Source organism: Homo sapiens, chromosome 12 (genome assembly GCF_000001405.40).
Source record: "Homo sapiens chromosome 12, GRCh38.p14 Primary Assembly".
NCBI lineage: Eukaryota > Metazoa > Chordata > Mammalia > Primates > Hominidae > Homo > Homo sapiens.
This window is the reverse complement of record NC_000012.12, coordinates 118,667,923-118,687,677: the sequence shown is the minus strand read 5'-3', so window position 1 is coordinate 118,687,677 and position 19,755 is coordinate 118,667,923. Positions and strand designations below refer to the sequence as shown.

At 42.7% G+C, this 19,755-nt stretch overlaps 1 annotated feature.

Annotated features, from left to right (window-relative positions):
• Positions 4,649 to 4,698: an enhancer, noted in NCBI's record as "active region_7113". NCBI's record gives its function as "activates an Ori minimal core promoter by ATAC-STARR-seq in GM12878 lymphoblastoid cells {active_cell/tissue: GM12878}" and the evidence as "EXISTENCE:reporter gene assay evidence [ECO:0000049][PMID:35858748]".

The window sequence follows — 19,755 nt, the reverse complement described above, 5'->3', positions numbered from 1 at the left end:
AACTTGCCCAAGATCACACAGTTTGTAAACAGTGGAGTCAGGATTCAACCCCGGTCATCTCAGGCACACAGGGTAATTCTAAGAGAACTAAGTGGAATTAGGACTGTCAAGTGCTTGGCACAGGGCTCAGTATGTATGGACTGTTCTTAGGAGTAAGGGAGGGAGGGAAGAAAAACAGAGGCAACAGCAGAGCTCGCCTGTCTAGTTTCTTTCTTGTGACTGTTTTCTCTCCCCAGATACATAGAATTGGATCCATCATTACCTAATGATTGGCCCTTTTATTTTATTTATTGTACTTTTCAAATAATATAATGAACACCATGGATAGAACTGGAAGGCCATGATCTTAAGTGAAACAAGTCAGACACAGAAAGACAAATACTACATGTTCTCACTTATAAGTGGGAGCCAAATAATGTGTACACATGGATGTAGAGTGTAGAGTAATGAACAATAGACACTGACTGGGAGGGGCGATGGGGTGGGAGGAGGGTGGATGATGAGAAATTACTTAATGGGTATAATGTATGTTATTCAGTTGATGGATACCCTAATAAGTCTTGACTTTACCACTACACAATCTACTCATGTAACAAAACTATTCTTGTACCCCATAAATGTATACAAATAAAAATAAAATAAATAGTATAATGAATACCATGAACCCACTGTCCAAACCAAGAACCTAAATATTAACAATAATTTCATCTACCTATCTGCTCCTCTCCTCCTGCTTCTTGCCTTTCTCTTCCTGGTAGCCACAGTCCTAGATGTTGGATTGACCATTCCATTGATTTTTTTTTTTAACATATGTATGCCTAACAAGAAATTGTTTCACCTTTCTTGTTTTTGACTTTATAATTTCTAAGTCTTTCCATTATAGGCTCTCACTTCTTTTGTTGGAGTTAAATTTTACAAGTTCACCCAGGCCATCACATTTTGGCTGTGTGGGTTCTTCAGTGCAAGAGGCTCCCCAACTGAGGGTGGCAGGGGTACTGAAATCCAGCCTGCAGCTCCTCTTGCCTTAAAGATGCCATTCTCCCATGAAGCCATTCACCTTGGAGGCTGCATCCACCTGGAGAGGGGGCCATTTTCTAATCTGCACAAAGGCACAGGAGAGGTTAATGGGGGCCTGAAAGCACCACCCCTGGACCATCAGCTAACCTTCTTGGCCCCATCATGCTCAAGAGCAAGGTTGAGCCCACTCAGGATGATAGGTAGGAAGTGGCCCACAGTGACAGCCCAAGAGACAGCTGCATCATGTGAATCATAGTTCCTGCTAGAAGCTCAGTGGCCTCACTCCAGCTGTCTATCCCTAACCTATCAGGAGGGATTTCCTAATCAAGTTCCAGGAACCTTAAGATTCATGTCAAGGGGCCTCAATTTATTGAATTAATGCTGCTGAGCAGAACTGTAGCTGTTAAACAGTGTGGAGATCTGGATTTTACAGCAATGTAACTAACAAGGCTATTAACACAAACTGGGCCTGCCACTGACATTTATAACACCATAAATCTCTGTTCCCGCTGGAAGTATTTATGGTGTGGCAGGCACTCAGAGTCCACTGTCTTTTGCTGTGCTCTGCTTTTGAGACTCAGCAGGCAAAAAGTGTTGACCAATAAAGGGATAGTCAGGGGGAAGGAGGAAGAGAATGGAGCCTAGGCTGATTCTCAGCTCCCACCCCCTCTATCAACTTGAAACACGGGCCATTGCCAAGGGTGGCTTTTGATTTTTCTGTTTTTATTATATAGTATGTATTTATTTCCCATTTAGGGAGCACTTACCACAGGCTAAACCCTTTGCCAATGTAGTAATTATTAATTTCCCAGCATCTTCTCAAGGGTGAAAACATATTAGCTTTGTGTGTGCGTGTGTGTGTGTGTGTGTGTGTGCGCGTGTTCCCACTGAACTGAATTTCTGTCTTGAGTCTCCCAAACTCTCTGAAGCAGAACATTTAATCTTGTCACTTCCAAGTAAACTCAATTGCTTTAGTGATTTTTATTCTTCTCATTGACTTCAGGTTAAACCAAGTCAGATTTTAGATTTTTCTCACTCCTTTACTCTCCACAGGGAAGATAGCAAGGAGTGTTCAGATCTTGCTATGCCATTAGTGGGGAGGGATGACCAGGTCTGTGTTTTTGCCCATTGATATGGTATGGCTGTGTCCCCACCCAAATCTCATCTTGAATTGTAGTTCCCATAATCCCCATGTGTTGTGAGACGGACCCAGTGGAGATAATTGAATCATGGCGGTTGTGTCCCCCATCCTGTTATTGTGATAGTGAGTGAGTTCTCATGAGATCTGATGGTTTAAAGGTGTGGCACTTCCCCCCTCACCCTCTCTCTCTTCTGCCACCATGTAAGACATGCCTTGCTTCCCCTTTACCATGATTGTAAGCTTCCTGAGGCCTCCCTAGCCATGCAGAATGGTGAGCCAATTAAACCTCTTATCTTTAAAAATTGTCAAGTCTCAGGTAGTTCTTTATAGCAGTGTGAAAATGGACTAATACACCCATCCATGTCCTCTATTGGCATCCATGAAGATGTAGCCTGTACCATGATGCCCTCCCCAACATCAGCTGCCCTCTGGCATGGAACACACCTTCTCTAATCCTCACATCCTTTGCTGCAGTCCCTATGTCTGGGCCACAAGAAGGCCTGTAGAACTCCTAGCCCACTCTCTCCCTTCCCCCTAATCTTCAAGTCCTATTTAGGGGCCAGGGACCATGACACTCCAGGGACACTGGAAAGGCACACATACTCTCTCTCTCTCTCTCTCTGGATTTCACGTACCCGACCATACCACCACCATGCCCATGCTCCCATGCTCCCATGCACCACGTTGACATTAGTGTCCTCCCCACCAGGCCTTCAATCTCCCTTGGCCTTTTTTCACCCAACATACTGAGTCTTTTTTAGTCACCATTCTTAGCACTTTACAAGATGTGCTTCACTTATTCCCACCAACAACTCTCTACAGTAAGATCCATTATTATCCCCTATCATAGCTGGGAAAACTGAGGTTCAAACACTTAAGTCCCCGGCCTAAGGTCACACAGTGTGAGCATTGATTTTTATATGCCAACTTGACTGGGCTAAGGGATGCCCAGATAGCTGGTCAAATATTATTTCTGAGCATGTCTGTGAACGTGTTTCTGAAAAAGATTAGCATTTGAATTGGTGAACTGAGTAAAGAAGATCGGCCCTCACCAACGTGAGTGGGCGTCATCCAATCTGTGAGGCCCTCAACAGAACAAGAGGGTGGAAGAAGGGCAAATTTGCTGTCTCTGCTTGAGCTGGGACATTCATATTTTCCTGCCCTCAGACATCAGAAGTCCAGGTTCTCAGGCCTTCGGACTTGGATGAATTAAACCACCTACTTTCCTGGTTCTCCAGCTTGTAGATAGCATTTTGTGGGACTTGTCCACTTTCATAATTGTGTGTCCCAATTCCCCTAATAAATACCTTCTTCTATATCTATGTTCTATTGGTTCTGTTTCTCTGGAGAACTCTGAATAATGCACACAGCCATTAAGAGATGGAGCTGGAATTTGAATCCAGATAGCCAGGCCTCACCAGAGCAGTGAGACGCCCACAGAATCCAAAACTTAAAGTGGCCCTGCTCCCTAACACCTCTCCAGAGCTTTGCCCCAGAGAGGCACTGTTCACAGAGTTCCACTTGAATCTAAGTGTTTAACTTTGCACTCTTCCTCCAGTCTGGAATTTAGGGAGTTTAGGGTAATAAATAATTCTTCAGAAAACCTTTCTAAGCTCTTGTTCCTGTCAAGAAGACCTCAGCCTTGTGGACTTCCACAGCTACAGATGTCACTGGAATCCTTTTTCCCTTAGGGTAGTAAAGGCCAAGTCTTGGGTTTGAATGGAGTCTAGGGTGACAAGCAAACCCGGATATTTCAGGATTTAAAAAACCCCACAGAGGTTGAAGCTTCACTCTTCATCCACAACCACGTTATCACATTCAACCTCACAGCAACCCAGCTGAGAAAGACATAGGTAGTCTTTCCCTTTGTGCAAGAGAACCCAGCCTCCAAAACATTGAATGGCTTTTCCAGAGAAGGAAGGCTGAGAATTTTGGGAACCAGAATTTGGACTCAGGTCTGGGTTTCTGGAGGAATCACTAAACTTCATTTTCAAGGCTCTAACAAAATCCATTATATGTGTACACTACAGTTTACTTACCTAGTCTCTAATTGTTAAATACTTAACTGGCTCAGTGTTGTAAAGAATGCTGCCATGAATATCTTAGCTGTCTCTTTGGACACATTTGTGATAATTTCCTTAGGATAAATTCCTAGATGTGAAATTATGGAATTAGGGGCTGTGCATATGTATAAGGCTTTTTGATTTATTTTACCAAATTCCTGTCTATAAAGTGTGTCTGAATTTGCCTTCCCATGCCACTGTATCAGAGTGTCTACTTCTTCCTGTTGGTACCCTCACTGGGTTCTCCCATTTTCTACATATCTTTCCATTTTAGAGGTGAGAAATGATGTCTCAAGGATAGTTTGATTTGCAATTTTTATTACAAGTGAGGTTAAATCAATCATCTATTGAGTAACTGCTCCAAGTTCAGCAAAGAGAAGAGGAGTTGGGAGGAGTAGTAACACAAAGAAAGTTATTTTTCAACACAAGGACCACACAGCAGAAGAAGACAGCAGCCCAGGGACAGCATGACCTGATACAGAACTAAGTGCCAGAGGAAGTCAAAACAGAGTTTAGCAGGAAAGAGCTCAGTGCCTGTCTGTCCTGGAGCTGAAAGGGAGACTTCGAGGAGGAGAAGGCAGGACTGGAGCCCTGAACCACCGGAAAGTGCCACCCACACACTGTTTCTTTCAGTTCCCCAAGGGCTCCACCATCTTCTTACCTCCCAGCCTTTGCTGTTTCCTCTGTCTCTCTCCGCTTTGCTTTGCTAAGTTCTCCTCCTCACCTTTTTTAAATCTTAAGATCTTAAATCTTAAATCTCTCTTCCTCAAGAGAAGCCTCTCAGACCCCAGACCAGTTCATGTCCCTCTGTTAAGCGCTCTCACTGTGCCCTGTACTTCTGCTTTAAAATACATATCATAATGACAATTAATTGTGTTTGTAATTATTCATGTCATGTTCCAGACTGGAATCTCTAAATAGACTGTAAGCTCTGAGAGTCTAGACTGTATCTATTTTGCTCACCTCTGGGCTCCCAAGACCTAATTTAGTACATAATAGGACAAGATAATCTAGATTAAACCCAATACATAAATAGGTTTACTACTTTTTAATTCTTGTCTCTCAGCTCTAAATTCACCTTTTATTATTCTGCTTTGTGCTAGTGGTGCTATGTCTGCAAACTGCGTTTCTGTTTTGCCAGCAGGATTTCTTTGTTGGTTTTGTCACTAGGAGGAGATGTGAAACCTGGAGGAGGGGGAAGGGATTTGCTCTTTCTACCTGTTTGCATCCTGTCCCTTTAAGCACCTCCCCAGCAAAGCAATTTTCCCAATCCTCTATTCCCTTCTACCCCAGCCCTAATTTCTCCCTCCTCCCACCACCTCACTTAGGTAGGTAGTTCCCATCTCCAGTTGCTTCCAGCACTCCTAGAATCAGCCTGTTTGCACCCTTTGATGGATACCACTACAAACCAGGGGTGTCCCTTTATCAGAGGTTTAAGTCCAAGCTCCATGATCCCTCCTCCCAGTTTCTAGGTTTTGAGAAACACATGTCCTTCTCTTTGTTCCCCCACCTATAGGGGCAGTAGCTGCTTCCCTCGATTATTATCTCTGGGCTATCTCACTGATCTACCTTCACTTTTCCATCCTCCATAACCTGTCCTTCCAAATACTGAAATTAAATTCTCTCTGTCGAAATACCTAATGTGGTTTCTGTCTTCTTCACTAGATTCTGATTATGTAATTGACATTCAACTAAAATTTCATTAAAGCCACAGACGGGTTAGAAAATGGCATGAACAACTCACATCAACACTGGATAACTGAGCATCTACCATGTGACTGGCATCTACAGGCACATCAAGGGCATGAACAACTCACATTAACTCTGGATAACTGAGCATCTACAATGTGACTGGCATCTACAGGCACATCAAGGGCATGAACAACTCACATTAACTCTGGATAACTGAGCATCTACAGTGTGACTGGCATCTACAGGCACATCAAGGGCATGAACAACTCACATTAACTCTGGATAACTGAGCATCTACAGTGTGACTGGCATCTACAGGCACATCAAGGGCATGAACAACTCACATTAACTCTGGATAACTGAGCATCTACAGTGTGACTGGCATCTACAGGCACATCAAGGGCATGAACAACTCACATTAACTCTGGATAACTGAGCATCTACAGTGTGACTGGCATCTACAGGCACATCAAGGGCATGAACAACTCACATTAACTCTGGATAACTGAGCATCTACAGTGTGACTGGCATCTATAGGCACATCAAGGGCATGAACAACTCACATTAACTCTGGATAACTGAGCATCTGTGATGTGCTCGGTCCTGGAGACTGGAGACTGAGAGGTAAAACAGAAACAGAATGTCCCAGAAGTGCCCCAAATATTTTACTTTCAAAGACAGAGCAGAACCCCTTTTCTCCCACCTCCCTGACTAGATAAGAAGAAGAACCCCTTTTCTCCCACATCCCTGCCTTTTAAAAGGGAGCAGTTATCCCCCTGCTTTCCATACTTTGCAATGGTATTCAATGAATCTCCAGTGGCATACGGAGAACAACAATCCTTTGTTGTGCAGGACAGACTTTGCAAGAAGCTTGTCGTTTTTGGCCTTCTCAACTAAATAATAACACCCCTCCTCCAGTCATTTTGTCAGCCAAAAGTGCCCCCACAAGTTGACAAATGACCCTTTGGTGCAGTCCACCCTCCCTGATCACTATGAGGTCACCCATTGAGGAGATACCCCAGGGGAGGAAGAACTCGCTAATTATTTCTGGCATTATCAGCCCCAGCAGAGAAACCTTTAATAAATGTAGAAGATGGTGTAGTTCTGCATGAGATCTTCAAATTAACCAAGACAGCCAGCAGAATGCAATCCAACAGAGGGCGTGACAGGGCGGCAGGCCGGCAGGGGGTGGATAGAGGAAGAAGGAAGCTGGAAACCTAATTAGCCAGGGCTGCTCATATCTGAGCCGCTCCACTCCCAGCTGCTTCCTGACTCATGACATGTTGAAAATGAAATCATTAGGAAGCACTCACACACAGCTCCTTGTTAGAGATGGGTCCCAAGTAGGCTTAATTGGAAGAGGAGAAATGGGGAGGAGGTGAAGCATGAAAGGAGGGGAAGAGAAATGGTGTGTGGCAGTTGACCGTGGGTCCCACACACACAAGATGGGGTATTTTTGAAAAAATGGAGGTTTTCTCCGCTTCTTCCCCGCCCCCTTCCGTCCACCCCTCACGGATGACTTGTAGTACACCAGTTCTCAACAAGCTAGGTTGGCACCCTCTTATGTATGGAAATTGGTTATGAGAAGTGGGAAAAGTAACCACCCTGTGTTAAAAAGTAATCACAACAAATTGAAAAATAACAAAGTCTGACAGTTTTCTCCCTTCCTTCTATACCTTTCTTCCATTCTTTAAAAAAATATAAATTAAAATAGATTCAGCCGGGCACCGTGGCTCATGCCTGTAATCCTAGCACTTTGGGAGGCCAAGGCAGAAGGATCACCTGAGGCCAGGAGTTCGAGACCAGCCTGGCCAACATAGTGAAACCTCATCTCTACTAAAAATACAAGAATTAACCAGGCATGGTGGCGTGTGCCTGTAATCCCAGCTACCCAGGAGGCTGAGGCAGGATAATCACTTGAACCGGGAGGGAGGCTGCAGTGAGCCAAGATCGCGCCACTGCTCTCCAGCCTGGGCGACAGAACAAGACTCTGTCTCAAAAATAAATAAATAAATAAATTAATTAATTAAAAAAACAGGTTCAAGGTGTCTTTAGTAATATCATTCTCTGGCACTTATATTCCAATATCCTGTCCTACATGGCAGAGAAAAATACAGGGTTCCAGGTATGGTTTACAACCCCAACCAAACTCACCTTCCCAACTCAGTTATGAATAATGTTTGTTGTTTGTTCTTTATTTCTCATACCCATCCACCATGCCAACAGAAAAAAATGTTTTGGCTTTTTAGATCAGCATAGCATAGCATGATAATGGAATTTGAAGTCAGATAGAACTGAGCTCCTGGCTAGGCGCAGTGGCTCATGCCTGTAATCCCAGCACTTTGGGAGGCCAAAGTGGGTGGATCACTTGAGGCCAGGAGTCCAAGACCAGACTGGCCAACATGGTAAACCCTCATCTCTACTAAAAATACAAAAAATTAGCTGGGCATGGTGGCAGGTGCCTGTAATCCCAGCTACTTGGGAGGCTGAGGCATGAGAATTGCTTGAACCCAGGAGGCAGAGGTTGCCGTGAGCCGAGATCATGCCACTGCACTCCAGCCTGGGCAACAGAGTGAGACTCTCTCAAAAAAAAAAAAAAAAAAAAAAAAAAAAGCTGAATTCTAATCCTTCCTTAGATATTTAGTAGCTCTGAAACCAGTAGCAAGTGACTGAACCACTCAGAGCTCCCCATGTTTCCCCACCACTGGATACAGCCATTGGTATCTCAGTCTCCAAATCTTAGCTGCTGCTGAGAATTGGGGACCCTAATACCTATACTGCTAATCTCACAGAGTTGTTGTGGGGATCTATACAGATAAAAGATACAAAGATCTTTTTAACATTAAATCATTATATATGCAGATATTGTTAGACCTTGGTTATTTGCAAACACGTCTATACATTCCATTGATTATCTATAGCTGTCTCCTGACTCTGCCTCTTTACAGATCTCAGATGGGAGATCTGGCCAAAGTGATTGGGTAGTGGGGTGGGCCTTCTGGGATGTATACCCAACATCCATTCACCCACCCCTTCCTTCTCTTCAACAGAACCTTAATTTTATTCACTCTCCCAACAGCTAAATGTTTGAAGTGAGCCTGTACCCCTTTCAACCCAAAGGGGAGGAGTGAGCCTTGACTGGTCAAAACCAATTCACAGTAATTCCATTGTCAGTAATGATTGAAGCATGGATGTGTGACATGATTCTAACCAGTGAATGTGATGGGAAATCTTCTGGAAGCTTCTGGGAAATGCATTCCTTCCTCTTACAAAGTCAATGCCTTTGGATAAGACTGATGTCTTGATGCTTGGAGCTGTTGCAGCCATCTCTGAGCCTGAAGCAAAAAGTATAAGGACAAAGGCTAGCCACTGGGACTTTGAGAGTCCCAATGGCTTTGAGCCCCAGAACTAACCCTGGAGCTGCCCTGCCAAGAAATGTCTTGATATATAGGATAATTATGATAATTATACATCCTGGATTTCCTGGAACTCCCCCAGTTTACATTTGTGCCAGCATATGGTCTGATACAGTATTTGTCCTAAAAAAAAAATGTGCTGGTTTGGATAAGTTATACGGTCTCCCTACTGATAATAAATGTCCTTATTATTTAAGTCACTTTGAGTTCAGTTTATTCTATGTAGCTAAAATATTCTGATTAATACAGAGCTAGAGAGTGGTACAAAGCACATACGTGTGTACATGCATGTGCATATTTATACATGCATGTAAGCACATGCATGACTATGCCAAAGTTTAGGGTGAGTGCTCTAACCTCTACTTAAAATTGTCTATGCTTTCTCTTCTTTTCTCTTTAGTAAACATTATCTTTGGGCCCTTCAGAGACTTTTCATTCTGCTTATTCTCTTCACTCACTACTTCCTGGGGTGCAGAAGGTGTACTCAGTAGGACCATTAAATTTTAAAGAGTTGTTGGCACATATACACCATGGAATACTATGCAGCCATAAAAAATGATGAGTTCATGTCCTTTGTAGGGACATGGATGAAGCTGGAAACCATCATTCTCAGCAAACTATCACAAGGACAAAAAACCAAACACTGCATGTTCTCACTCATAGGTGGGAATTGAACAATGAGAACACATGGACACAGGAAGGGGAACATCACACACCAGGGCCTGTTGTGGGGTGGGGGGAGGGGGAGGGATAGCATTAGGAGATATACCTAATGTTAAATGAAGAGTTAATGGGTGCAGCACACCACCATGGCACATGTATACATATGTAACAAACCTGCACGTTGTGCACATGTACCCGAAAACTTAAAGTATAAAAAAACAAAAGAGTTGTTGCCAAAAGGGGCATCCTGAGACCTCAAGGCAAATTCTCATCTGGATGGTGAGGCATGCCATTCTCCACTCTGCCCTTGTCGTTTCATTTCATTATTGTGGAAACACAACGAACATGAAAGAGAAACAAATAGGGGCATCCTAATCTGAGAATTCATCCTCTCCCAAGTGTCTATGAATCTTTGAAGCAGTGCCCCCCTTTAAGGTGAGCCTCCCTTATCCCCATATACTGTATTTGCACTATTGTCTTAAGCAGCAAAACTCTGGTCCCTCTCAATGTATGTAGCTCTTTAACTCTCCCCAAAGTTATAAATCCACTGTCAGCAAACGCATCCACAAGTCCTTGTTCTCATTCTCTCCTTTATCTGTCCTTTCCCCAGTCATTCCACTAATGGCTTCAATCTGCCAGTTGCCCTCTCTGCTTACACTGTAATCAGGAGGGTGGGGCTGACCTGGCCATTGTCAGAGAGAAAACTGAGCAGTCTGCTGATGTAGTGTGTCGAACAAGTGCCCCATTCGTTTTTCTATCATCTGGCAAGCCTCATCTATTAACTTGGCTGATTTTAAGACAAAGTTTCAAGGTAAACCTAACAGGCAGACACATTCTAAGTGAAGACAAAAGCAACTTAGAGCACTCAGTGCCTGCCCAGCCTGGAAATAGCCCTTGCAGAAAAACTCTCTCTCTCTTTTACTCCTCACCTGATGCAAATCCATGTTTCTGAACTCAAGCGCTGACTACCCAAGGTCAGGATCACCCAGAGTTGGAGATTGGAATCAAGGAATTTAGAAGATGCTTGCAGCCATTACTATCACTCTTCCAAACCAATGAAACAGGCACTCTTCTATTCTGACCACAGGAGTATAAAAAGGTACATTTTTGAGAGGGTAGCATTGATAGTGTGTATCAAAAGCCTTAAGAGTATTCATATACTTTTATTCAGCAACGTAATCTCTATGAATTTATCCTAAAGAAACAAGGGGACAAAAATATGTGTGTCCAGTAATATTCACCACATCACTGTAATAGAAGAAAATAGAGATGCTCGTTGGCAGGGGACTGATTAAATAATTTATGGTACATCTATGCAATGGAGGATGATGTCATTATTAAAACAAGTACTGGACAGTTTAATGGGTAAGAGTATAAACTGGCACAACCATTCTGGGACATAATCTGGCAATATGTATTAGAAGCCTTTGAAATGTTCACACCCTTTGAAATAGTCATGAATACTGTTCACCAAATAGCTCCAGCTTTCCATCTGCCAGGCATGTGGTGGAATTGAACTTCACGACCCCTAGATGTCCATGTCACTGGTTCTGCCCTATGAGTTGTAAGAGGGAATGATGAGTACTACTTCCAAGCCTGGGCATCGAATTGCCTATGTAACATCTATAGAACTCTTTGCTTCTTCTGTAGTGACTAGCCATGTTTGAAATGGTGGCAGTCCCACCAGCCTTGGTCCCAGAGTGAAAAGATTTAAACATAACCCGGCTAGATGTGTAGGATGAGTGAGAAATAAGCCTTTGTTGTTTTGTTGTTTTAAGGGTTTTTTGTTTGTTTTTTGTTTTTGAGATGAAGTTTCACTCTTGTCGCCCAGGCTGGAGGGCAATGGCACCATCTCAGCTCACTGCAACCTCTGCCTCCCAGGTTCAAGTGATTCTTCTGCCTCAGCCTCCCGAGTAGCTGGGATTGCAGGCACCCACCACCACGCATGGCTAATTTTTATATTTTTAGTAGAGACAGGGTTTTTCCATGTTGGCCAGGCTGGTCTCAAACTCCTGACCTCAGGTGATCCACTCCACTCAGCCTCCCAAAGTGCTGGGGTTACAGGCATGAGCCACTGTGCCTGGCCTGTTTTAAGGTTTTTAGAGTTGTTTGTTACTGCATCATATCCTACCTATCCTGCCTAATACATAAATAGATACAAGTTGAAGGATATTCATCACAAAATTGATAACATACACAAACAAAATACACAACAGTAAGACATACAGCACACCCATGGTGCCAAGACAGTCAGGTCAGAAGGCACTTCAGCATTGTCCATACACCATGACATTTCCTAAGGAGACCCAGGCCTTGATGTTGAACCCAAGCCATCATCACAGTTTCTTCCATCCTTCTTTCATAATGAATTTGCCCTCAGAGTTCCCTGACATTAGTCGAGGTTTAATTTAACATTAAATTTTAAAAGGCAGGGGTTAAGACCTCAATCTCTTTTCTCCCAAGAATCTCTGAGATTCCTTTACAAATGTATCCAGCTCCTCCCCATAAGTCATCAAGGTCCACAGAATAAGGAATTTAGGGAGAAAAAATCTTTATCTATCCAAAAATATACATGCTGTATTTCTCCTGTGGAACAATGAATACTAACTTGCTTTGCATATTCATAATCCACACTCAAGCAAAGTCTCCACCTTTAGAAATAAAAGAGCTGGCACGTCTGTAAGCCCAGCACTTTGGGAGGCCAAGGTGGGTGGATCACCTGAGGTCAGGAGTTCAAGACCAGCCTGACCAACATAGTGAAACCCTGTCTCTACTAAAAATACAAAATTAGCTGGGCGTGGTGGCACGTGCCTGTAATCTCAGCTACTTGGGAGGCTGAGGCAGGAGAACTGCTTGAACCCAGGAGGCGGAGGTTCTGGTGAGCCAAGATCATGCCATTGCACTGCAGCCTGGGCAACAGAGTGAGATGCCATCTCAAAAAATAAAAATAGTTGATCCATGATGGCCAATTAGGAACAGCTCTGGTCTGCAGCTCCCAGCATGATTGACGCAGAAGACGAGTGATTTCTGCATTTCCAACTGAGGTACCCGGTTCATCTCACTGAGATTGGTTAGACAGTGCAGCCCACGGAAGGCGAGCTGAAGCAGGGTGGGGCATCAGCTCACCTGGGAAGCATGAGGGGTTGGGGGATTTCCCTTTCCTAGCCAAGGGAAACCATGACAGACTGTACCTGGAAAAACAGGACACTCCTGCCTAAATACTGCACCTTTCCAATGATCTTAGCAAATGGCACACCAGGAGATTATATCCCGCGCATGGCTTGGCAGGTCCCATGCCCATGGCACCTTGCTCACTGCTAGCACCGCAGTGTGAGATTGACCTGCGAGGCAGCAGCCTGGCAGGGGGAGGGGCGTCTGCCATTGCTGAGGCTTGAGTAGGTAAACAAAGCAGCCAGGGAAGCTCAAACTGGGCGGAGCCCACCACAGCCAGCAAGGCCTGCTGCCTCTGTTGACTCCACCTCTGGGGGCAGGGCATAGCTGAACAAAAGGCAGCAGAAACTTCTGCAGACTTAAACGTCCCTGTCTGACAGCTCTGAAGAGAGCAGTGGTTCTCCCAGCATGGCATTTGAGCTCTGAGAATGGACAGACTGCCTCCTCAAGTGGGTCCCTGACCCACTTGTAGCCTAACTGGGAGACACCTCCCAGTAGGGGCCAACTGACACCTCATACAGGAGGATGCCCCTCTGGGACGAAGCTTCCAGAGGAAGTATCAGGCAGCAATATTTGCTGTTCTGCAATATTTGCTGTTCTGCAGCCTCCGCTGGTGATACCCAGGCAAACAGGGTCTGGAGTGGACCTACAGCAAAATCCAACAGACCTGCAGCTGAGGGACCTGACTCTTAGAAGGAAAACTAACAAACAGAAAGGAATAGCATCAACATCAACAAAAAGGACATCCACAGCAAAACCCCATCTGTAGGTCATGAACATCAAAGACTAAAGGTAGATAAAACCACAAAGATGGGGAGAAACCAGAGCAGAAAAGCTGAAAATTCTAAAAACCAGAGTACCTATTCTCCTCCAAAGGAACACAGCTCCTCACCAGCAATGGAACAAAGCTGGAAGGAGAATGACTTTGACAAGTTGACAGAAGTAGGCTTCAGAAGGTTGGTAAAACAAAATTTTCCGAGCTAAAGGAGGATGCTTGAACCCATTGCAAGAAAGCTAAAAACCTTGAAAAAAGATTAGATGAATGGCTAACTAGAAAAAACAGCGTAGAGAAGACCTTAAATGACCTGAAGGAGCTGAAAACCATGGCACGAGAACTACGTTATGCATGCACAAGCTTCAGTAGCCAATTTGATCAAGTGGAAGAAAGGGTATCAGTGATTGAAGACCAAATTAATGAAATAAAGTGAGAAGAGAAGTTTAGAGAAAAAAGAGTAAAAAGAAATGAACAAAGCCTCCAAGAAATATGGGACTATGTGAAAAGACCAAATCTGCATTTGATTGGTGTACCTGAAAGTGATGGGGAGAATCGAACCAAGTTGGAAAACACTCTTTAGGATATTATCCAGGAGAACTTCCCCAACCTAGCAAGACAGGCCAACATTCGAATTCAGGAAATACAGAGAACTCGGCAAAGATACTCCTCGAGAAGAACAACCCAAAGACACATAACTGTCAGATTCACCAAGGTTGAAATGAGGAAAAAATGTTAAGGGCAGCCAGACAGAAAGGTCGGGTTACCCACAAAGGGAAGCCCATCAGACAAACAGTGGATCTCTCAGCAGAAAGTTTACCAGCCAGAAGAGAGTGGGGGCCAATATTCAACATTCTTAAAGAAAAGAATTTTCAACCCAGAATTTCATATCCAGCCAAATTAAGCTTCATAAGTGAAGGAGAAATAAAATCCTTTACAGACAAGCAAATGCTGAGAGATTTTCGTCACCACCAGGCCTGCCTTACAAGAGCTCCTGAAGGAAGCACTAAACATGGAAAGGAACAACTGATACTAGCCACTGCAAAAAAATGCCAAATTGTAAAGACCATCGATGCTAGGAAGAAACCGCATCAACTAACGAGCAATATAGCCAGCTAACATCATAATGACAGGATCAAATTCACACATAACAATATTAACTTTAAATGTAAATGGGCTAAATGCTCCAATTAAAAGACACAGACTGGCAAATTGGATAAAGAGTCAAGACCCATCAGTGTGCTGTATTCAGAAGACCCATCTCACATGCAGAGACACACATAGGCTCAAAATAAAGGGATGGAGGAAGATCTGCCAAGCAAATGGAGAGCAAATAAAAAAGCAGGGGTTGCAATCCTAGTCTCTGATAAAACAGATTTTAAACCAAACAAAGATCAAAAGAGACAAAGAAGGCCATTAAATAATGGTAAAGGGATCAACTCAACAAGAAGAGCTAACTAACCTAAATATATATGCACCCAATACAGGAGCACCCAGATTCATAAAGCAAGTCCTTAGAGACCTACAAAGGGACTTAGACTTCCACACAATAATAATGGGAGACTTTGGCACCCCATTGTCAATATTAGACAGATCAACGAGACAGAAAGTTAACAAGGATATCCAGGACTTGAACTCAGCTCTGCACCAAGTGGACCTAATAGACATCTACACAACTCTCCACCCCAAATCAATAGAATATATATTCTTCTCAGCACCACATCACACTTATTCCAAAATTGACCACATAGTTGGAAGTAAAGCACTCCTCAGCAAATGTAAAAGAACAGAAACACAACAAACTGTCTCTCAGACCACAGTGCAATCAAATTAGAACTCAGGATTAAGAGACACACTCAAAACCACACAACTACATGGAAACTGAACAACCTGCTCCTGAATGACTACTGGGTAAATAAAGAAAGGAAGGCAGAAATAAAGATGTTCTTTGAAACTCATGAGAACAAAGACACAACATACCAGAATCTCTGGGACACATTCAAAGCACTGTGTAGAGGGAAATGTATAGGACTAAATGCCCACAAGAGAAAGCAGGAAAGATCTAAAATTGACACCCTAACATCACAATTAAAAGAACTAGAGAAGCAAGAGCAAACAAATTCAAAAGCTACCAGAAGGCAAGAAATAACTAAGATCAGAGCAGAACTGAAGGAGATAGAGACATTAAAAACCCTTCAAAAAAATCAATGAATCCAGGAGCTGGTTTTTTGAAAAGATCAACAAAATTGATAGATCACTAGCAAGACTAATAAAGAAGAAAAGAGGGAAGAATCAAATAGACACAATAAAAAATGATAAAGGGGCTATCACCACTGATCCCACAGAAATACAAACTACCATCAGAGAATACTATAAACACCTCTATGCAAATAAACTAGAAAATCTAGAAGAAATGGATAAATTCCTTGACACATACAACTCCCAAGACTGAACCAGGAAGACGTTGAATCTCTGACTAGACCAATAACAGGCTCTGAAATTAAGGCAATAATTAATAGCCTACCAACCAAAAAAAGTCCAGGACCAGACGGATTCATAGCTGAATTCTACCAGAGGTACAAAGAGGAACTGGTACCATTCCTTCTGAAACTATTCCAATCAATAGAAAAAGAGAGAATCCTCCCTAACTCATTTCATGAGGCCAGCATCATCCTGATATCAAAGCCTGGCAGAGACACAACAAGAAAAGAGAATTTTAGATCAATATCCCTGATGATCATCAATGCAAAAATCCTTAATAAAATACTGGCAAACCAAATCCAGCAGCACATCAAAAAGCTTATCCACCATGATCAAGTCAGCTTCATCTCTGAAATGCAAGGCTGGTTCAACATATGCAAATTAATAAACGTAATCCATCACATAAACAGAACCAATGACAAAAACCATATGATTATCTCAATAGATGCAGAAAAGGCCTCCAACAATATTCAACAGCCCTTCATGCTAAAAACTCTCAAAAAACTAGGTATTGATGGAATGCATCTCAAAACAAGAAGAGCCATTTAAGACAAACCCACAGCCAATATCATACTGAATGGGCAGAAACTGGAAGCATTCCCTTTGAAAATTGGCACAAGACAGGGATGCCCTCTCTCACCACTCCTATTCAACATAGTGTTGGAAGTTCTGGCCAGGGCAATCAGGCAAGAGAGAGAAATAAAGGGTATTCACATAGGAAAAGAGGAAGTCAAATTGTGCCTGTTTGCAGATGATATGATTGTATATTTAGAAAACCCCATCATCTCAGCCCAAAGTTTCCTTAAGCTGATAAGCAACTTCAGCAAATTCTCAGGACACAAAATCAATGTGCAAAAATCACAAGCATTCCTATACACCAATAACAAACAAACAGACAGCCAAATAATGAGTGACCTCCCATTCACAATTGCTTCAAAGAGAATAAAATACCTAGGAATCCAACTTACAAGGGATGTGAAGGACCTCTTCAAGGAGAACTACAAACCACTGCTCAACGAAATAAAGGAGGACACAAACAAATGGAAGGACATTCCATGCTCATGGATAGGAAGAATCAATATCGTGAAAATGGCCATATTGCCCAAGGTAATTTATAGATTCAATGCCATCCCCATCAAGCTACCAATGACTTTCTTCACAGAATTGGAAAAAACTACTTTAAAGTTCATATGGAACCAAAAAAGAGCCCACATTACCAAGACAATCCTAAGCCAAAAGAACAAAGCTGGAGGCATCATGCTACCTGACTTCAAACTATACTACAAGGCTACAGTAACCAAAACAGCATGGTACTTGTACCAAAACAGAGATATAGACCAATGGAACAGAACAGAGCCCTCAGAAATAACACCACACATCTACAACCATCTGATCTTTGACAAACCTGACAAAAACAAGAAATAGGGAAAGGATTCCGTTTAATAAATGGTGCTGGGAAAACTGGCTAGCCATATGTAGAAAGCTGAAACTGGATCCCTTCTTTACATCTTATACAAAAATTAATTCAAGAAGGATTAAAGACTTAAATGTTAAACCTAAAACCATAAAAACCCTAGAAGAAAACCTAGGCAATACCATTCAGGACATAGGCATGGGCAAGGACTTCATGACTAAAACACCAAAAGCAATGGCAACAAAAGTCAAAATAGACAAATGGGATCTAATTAAACTAAAGAGCTTCTGCGTAGCAAAAGAAACTGCCATCAGAGTGAACAGGCAACCTACAGAATGGGAGAAAATTTTTGTAATCTACCCATCTGACAAAGGGCTAATTTCTAGAATCTACAAAGAACTCAAACAAATTTACAAGAAAAAAACAACCCCATCAAAAAATGGGCAAAGTATATGAATAGACACTTCTCAAAAGAAGACACTTATGCAGCTGACAGACACATGAAAAAATGCTCATCATTACTGGTCATCACAGAAATGCAAATCAAAACCACCAGATACCATCTCACACCAGTTAGAATGGCAATCATTAAAAAGTCAGGAAACAACAGGTGCTGGAGAGGATGTGGAGAAATAGGAATGCTTTTCCACTGTTGGTGGGAGTGTAAACTAGTTCAACCATTATGGAAGACAGTGTGGTGATTCCTCAAGGATCTAGAACTAGAAATACCATTTGACCCAGTGATCCCATTACTGGGTATATACCCAACGGATTATAAATCATGCCACTATAAAGACACATGCACACGTATGTTTATTGTGGCACTATTCACAATAGCAAAGACTTGGAACCAACCCAAATGTCCATCAATGATAGACTGGATTAAGAAAATGTGGCACATATACACTATGGAATACTATGCAGCCATAAAAAAGGATGAGTTCATGTCCTTTGCAGGGGCATAGATGAAGCTGGAAACCATCATTCTGATCAAGCTATCACAAGGATAGAAAACCAAACACCGCATGTTCTCATTCATAGGTGAGAATTGAACAATGAGAACACTTGGACACAGGGCGGGGAACATCACACACCGGGGCCTGTCATGGAGTGGGGGCCTGGGGGAGGGATAGCATTAGGAGAAATACCTAATGTAAATGACAAGTTAATGGGTGCAGCAAACCAACATGATACATGTATACCTGTGTAACAAACCTGCATTTTGTGCACATGTATCCTAGAACTTAAAGTATAATAAAAATAAATACATAAAAATAAAAATAAAAGAGCTGGAAATGTAGCAACTTCTCTCAACATTGAGAGAAATAGTTTTTAAGTTTACCAATTTATTACACTATTAATAGGAATTATACTGACCATATGATAGTGATGAGATGTGAAATCTTAAGGGTAGAGTAGAGAGTAGCATGTTTCACCATCCAGATTAGAATTTGCCTTGGGGGTCTCAGGATGCCCCTTTCAGCCACAGCTCTTTAAAATTTAATGTTCCTCCTGAGTATACCTTCTGCACCTTAGGAAGTAGATAGTGAAATGAATAAGCAGAATGAAAAGTCCCTGAAGGGCCCAAAGGGATGGCTTTTCATTAAGTAGCTAGTGGTGGCAGTTGTGATGGTGGTGGTAGGAGGGGTGACGGCATTGGTGGTAATAAGTAAGCCTGGTAGTCCCACTCATTAGCCCAATCCTGACCCCTCAATTCACAAGCCTAAATTAATGTGACAGTGATAGTGACAGTAATATTTACTAGCATCTAAAATTGTATGGCCAGTTGCTCACTCTAGCAATGGATTGGAAACAGAGAGGCCAGCTGTCGTCAGGGAAAGCAAGGAACTCAAACTAACAGGACGAGAAAAGGAAAGCAGCAGGGACAAGTCAGAGGGATGAGTAGAGGGGGGAGAAGAGCCAGT